Genomic DNA, 10440 nt, shown 5'->3' on the forward strand with positions numbered 1-10440 from the left:
TGTCTCCTGTCTTTTTAACCATGGCTGCATCATACTGCATCATTTCTCCCTAAACAGTTATAGATTTGGCCAAGCACGGTGGCTCACGCCTGTAATCCCAGCACTCTGGGAGGCCAGGGAAGGTGGATCACCTGAGGTCAGGAGTTTGAGACTAGCCTAACCAACATGGTGAAACCCCGTCTCTATTAAAAATACAAAAATTAGCTGGGCGCGGTGGCAGGTGCCTGTAATCCCAGCTACTTGGGAGGCTGAGGCGGGAGAATCGCTTGAACTTGGGAGGCGGAGGTTGCAGTGAGCCAAGATTGCACCATTTCCCTCCAGCCTGGGAGACAGAGCAAGACTCTGTCTCAAAAACAAAACAAAACAAAAGTTATAGATTCAATGCAATTCCTATCAAAACCTTAACAGGAATTTTTTTAACTTAAAAGTTCAGCTGGGAGAGTAAATACTAAATATTGTCAAGATGTTTTTGAAAAGAATGACAAGGTGGAAATTGCCCTATTAGGTATAAAAAGAGACTACCAAAGTAATGGAATTAAAAGTGTTAATAGAAAAAAATTAGCAGGGCATGGTGGCATGGGCCTGTAGTCCCAGCTACTCGGGAGTCTGAGATGGGAGGTTCGCTTGAGCCTGGGAGGCAGAGATTGCAGTGAGCTATGATTATGCCACTGTACTCTAGCCTGGGCAATAGAGCAAGACCCTGCTGATTTAAAAAAAAAAAAGAAAAGAAATGAAAAGAAAAGGAAGAGTTATGGTTGTACGGGTATTTCAACTTTGGGGTAAAGTAAATTCAGTAAATGGTTTGGAGATAAATGGCTATTCAGTTGTAAACTGTGGAATAGATAGCCACTTCAAACAAAAAATAAAAGTAAAATGAATCATAGTTCCAAACGAAACAACAAGAGCACCAAGAGAAAATCAAAGAGACTATGCCCAGGGATAGTCTAAGTAAGACACTAAACTCAAAAACAATACAGACACAAAATATTAACATTTCTGGCAAATGTGATTAGGAGAAAAAGTTTAACATCACTGGTGAATAGGAAAATGCAAAGAAAATCAAGAAACCATTTTCCTCCTATCAATTTAACAATTGCTTTTTTAAAAATGATACTATCCAAGCTAGGTGCGGTGGCTTACGTTTATAATCCCTGCACTTTGGGAAGCCTAGGCAGGCAGATCTCTGGAGCCCAGGAGTTCAAGACCAGCCTGGGCAACATAGCGAGTCTCAGTCTCTACAAAAAATACAAAAATTAGCCAGTGTAGTGGCTCACACTTGGGGTCCCAGCTATTTGAGAGGTTGAGGCAGGAAGATCACTGGAGCCCAGGAGGCTGAGGCTGCAGTGAGACGTAATTACACCATTGTACCCCAGCACGGGTGGCAAAGTGAGACCCTGTCTCAAGAAAAAAAAAAAAGGATATTATCTAGTGTCAGTGAAGACTTGGAGAAAAATCCTTATCATTGGTGGAAATATTAACTGATACAGCATTTTTGGAGGACAAATTAACATATCTATCAAACGTTAAGACTAGATCCTTTTTGACAAATGAGCGCTTATTTAGAGTGGTAGATTGACCATAAAATATGGATCCAATACTGACACAGAGGTTAAAAAGAAAAAGCTCTCTCTCTTACTTTATCCCAGAAGAATTTTTAAATTTTGTATTTTGATAATATATTGTTTTATAAAGATTCAGAGCTACCATCTTTTTGGTGCATTGGATCTTTTATCAATGTATATATTCTCTTTAGCTCTCTCTCTTAAGGTGCTTTATCATAAAATTATATTTTGTCTGATATTCATATTGCCACCTATATTTCTTTTAGTTTGCATTTGCTGTTGTTCATCCATTATTTTCTTATTCTCTTTCTTTCTTTTCTTTGTTTAAATTGAGACAGAGTCTTACTCTGTTGCCCAAGCTGGAGTGCAGTGGCATGATCATGGCTCACTGCAGCCTCGACCCCTCGGCTCCAGTGATCCTCCTATCTCAGCCTCCCAAGTAGCTGGTACTACAGGCATGTTCCACCATACCCAGCTAATTTTTTTTTTTTTTTTTTTTTTTGCATTTTTTTGTAGAGACAGGGTTTCAACATTTTGGCCAGGCTGGTCTCCAGCTCCTGGACTCAAGCCATCTGCCCGTCTGAGCTTCCCAAAGTGGTGGGGTTATAGGTGCGAGCCATTGCCCCCAGCTATTTATTCTTCTTCTTCTTTTTTTTTTTTTAAGATGGAGTTTCCCTGTTGTTGCGCAGGCTGGAGTGCAATGGCGAGATCTCAGCTCACTGCAACCTCTGCCTCCCTGGTTCAAGCGATTCTCCTGCCTCAGTCTCCCTAGTAGCTGGGATTACAGGCGGATGCCACAGTGCCCAGCTAATTTTTGTATTTGTAGTAGAGATGGTGTTTCACCATGTTGATCAAGGCTGCTTTCAAACTCCTGACCTCAGGTGATCTGCCCGCCTTGGCCTCCCAAAATGCTGGGATTACAGGCGAGAGCCACTGCGCCTGGCCTGCCCCTAGCTATTTCTTATTTTCAAAAACTGTTTTGGTTACTGTGTATCTGATGAACATCATATTGTTGGCTTTAAAAATAATTTTAATAGACTATTTTTAAGAGCAGTTTTAGGTTCATAGCAAAGTTTAATGGAAAGTACAGAGAGTTCCCATACACACTCCTCACCCCCACATGCATAGGCTCTCCACTCTCAACATTCCCTACAATAGTGGTATAGCTGTTACAATCGATGAACTAACACTGATGCATGAATATCACCCCAAGTTCACAGTTTACATTAAGGCTTCTTCTTGGCATTGTACATTCCATGGGTTTGGGCAAATGTAGAATGAAATGCACCATCATTACAGTATTGAACAGGAGAGTTTCACTGCCCTAAAAATCCCCCGTGTTCATCTATTTATTCCTCTCTCTCCCCAAGTCCCTGACAATCCCTAATCTTTTTACTGTCTCCATAATTTTGCCTTTTCCAGAATGTCATAGAGTTGGAATCACAGAGTATATCGCGTTTCCAGATTGGCTTCTTTCACTTAGTAATTTGCCTTTATGTTTCTTCCATGCCTTATTTATTTTTATTTTTAATTTAATTAATGTTTGTGGGTACATAGTAGGTGTATATATTTATGGGATACATGAAACATTTTGATACAGGCATGCAATGTGAAATAAGCACATCACAGGGAATGGGGTATCCATCCCCTCCAACATTTATCCTTCGAGTGAGTTACAAACAATCCAATTACACTCTAAGTTATTTTAAGATGTACAATTAAGTTATTATTGACTATACTCACCGTATTGTGCTACCGAATAGTAGATAACATTCATTCTTTCTATTCTTTTGTACCCATTACCCTTGCCCACCTCCCCACCCTCCATGTCTTCTCATGCCTTGATAATTCCTTTCTTTTTAGCTCCGGATAATATTCCTTTGTCTGGATGTACCACAGTGTATTTATCCATTTACTTACCCAAAGACAGTTTGTTTGCTTCCAAGTTTTGGCAATTATGAATAAAGTTACTATAGACATCCATGTACAGGTTTTTATGTAGACACGAGTTTTCAGCTAATTTGGGAAAAACTAAGGAGTGTGATTGCTGGGTCATTTGGTAAGAGCATGTTTAGTTTTGTAAGAAACTGTCAAAATGTTCTACACTACTGGTGGGAATGTAAAGTGGTACAACTGCTATGGAGAACAGTGTGGAGATTCCTTAAAGAACTAAAAGTGGAACTAACATTTGATCCAGCAATCCCCCTACTGGATGTTAACCCAGAGGAAAAGAAGTCATTATACGAAAAAGATACTTGCCCACGCATGTTTATAGCAGCACAATTCACAATGGCAAAAAATGTGGAACCAACCCAAATGCCCATCAATCAATGAGTGGATAAAGAAACTGTGATTGAGATATATGTATATATAAAACAGAATACTACTCAGCCATAAAAAGGAATGAATTAATAGCATTTGCAGCAACCTGGATGAGATTGGAAACTATTATTCAAGTGAGGTAACTCAGGAATGGAAAACCAAACATTGTATATTCTCACTCATAAGTGAGAGTTAAGCTATGAGTTAAGCATTGAGCATAAGAATGACACAATGGACTTTGGGGACTCAGGGCGGAAAGGGTGCAAAGAGGATCAGAGATAAAAGACTAGAAATATGGTGCAGTGTATACTGCTCGCATGATGGGTGCACCCAGATCTCACAAATCACCACTAAAGAACTTACTTGTGTAACCCAATACCACCTGTTCCCCAATAACCTATGGAAATAAAAAAATAAAATAAAATATTTGAGAAGAGAAACTGAAATTCTTCTACTTAAAGAAGAATAGCATTTTAAGAAGTTGCCTTGATACTAAAATCTGCAGGTATTAAAAAAAAAGGAACTGACAAAATGTCTTCCAAAGGGGCTCTTGATTCTGCTTTCCTACCAGCAATGAATGAGAGTCCCTGTTGCTGCATGTCCTTGCCAGCATTTACTGTTGGTGTGTATTAGTCTGTTCTCACACTGTTCTAAATAACTTTCCAAAACTGAGTAATTTATGAAAAAACGAGGTTTAATTGGCTCACAGTTCCTTAGGCTGCACAGAAAGCATGGCTGGGGAGGCCTCAGGAAACTTTCAATGATGGCAGAAGGCAAAGAGGAAGCAGGCAAGTCCTACATGGCTGGAGCAGGAGAAAGAGAGCAAAGCGGGAGGTGCCACACACTTTTAAACAACCAAATTTTGGCCAGCATGGTGGCTCACACCTGTAATCCCAGCACTTTGGGAGGCTGAGGCAGGCAGACCACTTGAAGTCAGGAGTTCTAGATCAGCCTGGCCAATATGGTGAAACCCTGTCTCTACTAAAAATACAGAAAAATTAGCTGGGGGTGGTATTGGGCACCTGTAATTCCAGCTACTTGGGAGGCTGAAGCAGGAGAATCGCTTGAACCTGGGAGGTGAGGTTGCAGTGAGCTGAGATTGTGCCACTGTACTCCAGCCTCAGCGACAGTGCGAGACTCCATCTCAGAAACAAAACAAAACAAAACAAAAACACACAAAAACCTCCCCCAGCTTTCATGAGAATGAACTCACTATCACGAGAACAGTGAGGGGGTCATGATCCAATCACCTTCCACCAGGTCCCTCCTCCAACACTGAGGATCACAATTCGACATGAGATGTGGGTGGGGACACAAGTCCAAACCATATCAGTGTTTTCAGTGTCTGACATTCTGATAGGTATGTAGTGGTATCTCATTGTTGTTTTAATTTGCATTTCCCTTATGACAATTATGTTATTGCTGGATGTTTATGTTTTCATTCAGCCTAAGAGTATTTAAAAGTTTTTTAACTATGGTAAATGACACATGAAATTTACCATCTTTATCATGTTTAAACATACTGTTTAGTAGCATTAACTATACTCACATTGTTGTGCAACTGTCGCAATCCATCTTTAGAGGTTTTTCATTTTGCAAAACTGAAACTCTGTACCCATTAAACAACTCCCCATTGCCCCCTACCCTTAGCTGCTGAGAGCCGCCATTCTACTTTCTGTTTCTATGATTTTGCCTATTCTAGGCATCGCATGTACATGGAATCATACAGCATTATTTGTCTTTTTGTGACTGGTTTATTTCATTTAGGATAATGTCCTCAATGTTCATCCATGCCATACATTTGTCAGAATCTGCTTCCTTTTTAAGTTTGAATAATACTCCACTGCATGTGTAAACTACGTTTTTTTTTTCTTTTGAGACAGAGTCTTGCTCTGTTGCCAAGGCTGGAGTGCAGTGGCTCGATCTTGGCTCACTGCAAGCTCTGCCTCCCGGGTTCAAGTGATTCTCCTACCTCAGCCTCCCGAGTAGCTGGGATTACAAGTGCCTATCACTAATTTTCTGTATTTTTAAGTAGAGAAAGGTTTCACCATGTTGGCCAGGCTGGTCTTGAACTCCTGACCTCAAGTTATCCACCTGCCTCAGTCTCCCAAAGTGCTGGGATTACAGGAGTGAGCTGCCACTGCGCCCAGCCTTTTTTTTTTTTTTTTTTTTTTTTTTTTGAGACAGGGTCTCACTCTGTCGCTCAGGCTGGAGTACAGTGGCACTATCGCAGCTCATTGCAGCCTTGATCTCCCAGCTTAAGTGATCCTCTCACCTCAGTCTCCCAAGGACTACAGAGGTGCACCATCAGGCCTGGCTAATTTTTAAATATTTTTGTAAATTCCAGGTCTCGCTATGTTGCCCAGGCTGGTCTCCAATGCCTGGGCTCAAGTGATCCTCCCACCTTGGCCTCCCAAAGTGCTGAGATTACAGGCATGAGTCACCTCGCCTGCCTTATATTTTGTTTATCCATTTATTTGCTTCTACCTTTTGGCTCTCGTGAACAATGCTACAATGGACATAGATATGTAAATATCCCTTCAAGATCTTGCTTGCAAATCTTTGAGGTATATACCCAGAAGTTGAGTTACTGGATCTCATAGTAATTCTGTTTAATTTTTCCAGGGACTGCCATACTGTTTTCAATAGTGGCTTCACCATTTTACTTTCCCATCAACTGTGCACAAGCGTTCTAATTACTTCACATTCTGCCAACATTTGTTATTTTTGTGGAGTTTTTGGTTTTATTTTTATTTTTTATAGTAGACGTCTTAAGGGGTGTGAAATGTTTCCCTTTAACAGAGTTGAGGCTGAGTGTGGTGGCTCACACCTGTAACCCCAGCACTTTGGGAGGCTGAGGTGTGTGGATGGCTTAAGCCCAGGTGTTCGAGAGCAGCCTGGACAACATGGCGAAACCCCGTCTCTACCAAAAATACAAAGATTAACTGGGCGTGGTGGCACATGCCTGTAGTCCCAGCTACTCAGGTGACAGGCGGGAGGGTCACCTGAGCTTGGGAGGTCGAGGCTGCAGTGAGCCATGATTGTGCCTCTGCACTACAGTCTGGGTGACAGAGTGAGACCCTGTCATAAATAAATAAATAAATAGTGAGTTGAACCCATTCACATTTAATATAGTTACTGATTTCTGATATTTTATGTTTTTTATTACATTGTTCTCTTTATTATTTCTTTTACTTTCTTATTTCCTAGGATTTTTTTTTTATACACTGAATTTTCTTTTTTTAAAACTCTCTTCTGGTTGTTTGAAAAGTTATACGTACTATTTCTTTTTTTTTCTTTTTTTTTTTTTTTAGAGATGGGATCTTGCTATGTTGCCCAGGTTGGCCTTTGAACTCCTGGCCTCAAGGGATCCTACTCCGTCAGCCTCCAGAGTAGCTGAGACTACAGGTGCACCCCACGGAGCTGGGCTTTCTTCCTATTTGTCTATTTTCAGGTAAAGGCTCATGTTCCTTGAACACCTGCTATGTTCCAGCCCCTATGCAGACCTTTTTATATTGATGATCTCATTTAATCCTTACGACAGCCCTATGAGGTTGCTCCTATTTTTAAAAATAAACTTTATATTTTAGAATAAATTAATTTTAAATTAGAATTAACTTAGAATTATTTAGAATAAATATTTTTACTTTAGAGTAATGTTTTTAGGACTTAGATTCTAAAAAGAAAAAGGAAAGTGCTGTAGGCAGTACAGAGAGTTTCTGTTTACTCTACACCTAGTACACCCAGTTTCCTTTAGTATTCATAGCTTCCATGGATATGGTATGCTTGCCAAAATTAATGAACCAATAGTGACACATTTTATTAGCTAAAATCTGTAGTTTATGCACATTTCCCAGGTTTTTGTCAAAATTTTACAATCTGTGTCAACATACCACACGACATCAGCCTCCTGTCTCCCTTAGGTTCTTGTTGGCTATGACAGTTTCTTTGTTTCGATGACCTTGGCAGTTTAGAGGAGATGGCCTTTAATTTAATAAGACCTTTTAAACATCTTTCTCCATAAACATTTAGAATGAATCAGTATCCATAATTTTTCCCTCTGGAATAAGATAAGATCTTAAACATCTCATGCTTTGTAGGAATAATCTAAAATTTCAGTTCCAATTGAGCAATAAAATTCTTTCTACATTTCTCTTTCTCTTTAAAATAGTTTCTTAAATGTCTTAATCTTAAGATCTCAGTATAAATTTTATCAGTTTATTTATATTTGTTACCACTTTTTCATGTTTTGAATTTAATTATCTTTCTTGAATTACTTTTTCCCCCCCGAAGGAAATATTTTCAGAAAGGATGGTTGGGTGATAAACTTTCTGAGCCCTTCATGGTCAAGCTTTTCTTATTTGCAACATGGAGATCAAAATACCTATCCCACAGAATTGCTGAAGATGAACGAATTCATACTTTTAAGCTTTTAGCAGAGTTCACCATATAAGCAATCAATAAATGTTAGCTCTTGTTACTATTACAATGAGCACATATTATTTTGTAATTATAAGGAAAACTATGCACGGACGCACGCAAGGAAGGAGGGATAGTGGTAAAGAAGGTGATAATACGGAAAGTGATGTGACAGAATGGAAGAGCAGGTGACATAACCACTATTTTCAGCTTGGTAAATGTGGAAAAGTCCTGAGCATTTCTGCCAACCAGCTTAACCTGGGCTATGCTGTCATCCATGGTCCAGACAGCCACGTGGGTGTTAGAAGCCACATGGCCCATCTGTCTCCTCTGAGGTCACTGGAGTTTATCAGCTGTTGTGTACCCTTAGCATGAGTCAGGAGGGTTCTGGGAAAATGTCTTTCTAGTTGAAGGACTGGCAATTCAGTTCAAAGATTAATAAACACAAAATAACACTTGAGAAGCATGTGTCATGTCAAATGCAGAACGTGTGTTCCAGAGGGAGGAACAAAACACGAGTGCTCTCTAAACAGACCAAAATTTCTTCAATTGATTCTTTGCTATTCATGAGCAAGGGAGGGAGAACAAATTGTTATGCCTGACACCAGATTTCAGGCCTGGAATTTTGTAGTGTGATTCATGCAGCTATATTTAATATTTGCAGAGTCATCCAGTAACCCCTGTCAGAGCCCAGGGAAGCCTTCACCCTGGGGCAACTCCCTTCTCCACCATCCATGCACTGCTTAGGGATCCTTGTAGGACGGTCTTGGTATGACGTATCATTCCTCGCATGCTTGAATGGCAGTTGTGTCTCCATAAACACCAGTGCCGGCCAAACACAGCCAGGTCTTTCATGTCAATTTAGGAATGTGTTGCCCTCATAAAGATAAGGCATTTAGTGCTCTTGACCTTGTTAAAGGTCTGTGACTGGCTCAGAATTTTTAATACCCGGGGAGTAGTGCGGAGGCGCGGTGGGGGATGGACTCTAGTTGTTTCCTGTGCTCAGGGTAGAATCCTGGAACCTGAGTTGCCAAAAAAAAAAAAAAAGAAAAGAAAAGAAAAAAAGGAAAAGAAAAATTGGATCATTAAGTTAGGATATTATGTTTAAATCTTATAATGTACTTGTAAATGTTGATGGCATAATATGTAAGTAACAAAAGACATGGCTTCATCAATTTCTACTTTAAAAGCTTTCACAGGAAAGAGATAAAGAATAATGTGGCTAATAAATGACATGCTGATAAAGTATTAAAAAGAACAGAACACTTCTGATGGCTTCACACTCTGGAAGGATGGGAAATAAGCAAACGCAAAATAAAACAGCTGGGTAGACTCAAAGGAAATAAAAAAGGGGTTTCCCCCACCCCTGTACATTCCCTCAAATAGGAGCTAAAAAGGAAAATAAAATTGCACCAAACCATGAGAGGGGAACATTTAAGCATTCTAATATTGTAAATAGACATTCAGGCTGAGTTTTCCATCCAAAAGCTAGGACAGGAAATAAATCCTTAAGCATAACTAAGAGACTAATAAGGAAATATTTTCAGGGGTTTAAAGCAAATAGTTTTTTTAATGCAAAAACAACATAATCAAGACATATTATCACATGTCATATATGACAGCAAATATGCTTACCAGGCTTCTTCCAAGAGCAAATGAGATAAAAGTACTTTGAAACCATAAAACGTTATGCAAATGTGCAGTGATATTAGCGTTATTTGGGAAAATAAAAGCACTGGGCTTCTCCCTTTTCCTGTTTCTCATTCCTTTTATTTACCTTAAAATACAAGTTTATTTCTTCTCAATATACCTGAGGAGTTGCCTAGTAGGAAATGGAACACACACAAAATCCGGCTTTTTCTTCCTGTCTTATTGTTCGTTTGTCACAATATTTGTTTTTCCTGGTTGTTGTTTAAAAATTGTTATGGAAAATTTCAAACAGACATCAAGTTAGAGAGAATTTGATCATGAACGTCATGTCCTCATCCCTCAGACTCTACATGTGTTATTAGCTTTTTGGCCAGTCTTATTCCATCTATAATCCCACCTACTTTCCAACTCAGATTATTTTGAAGTAAATGCCAGACATCCTGTCATTTCCATTAGAATTCCTAAAAGATAAAAACTATTCAAAAAA

The sequence above is a fragment of the Homo sapiens genome, chromosome 21, assembly GCF_000001405.40.
Source record: "Homo sapiens chromosome 21, GRCh38.p14 Primary Assembly".
NCBI classification, from domain to species: Eukaryota; Metazoa; Chordata; class Mammalia; order Primates; family Hominidae; genus Homo; species Homo sapiens.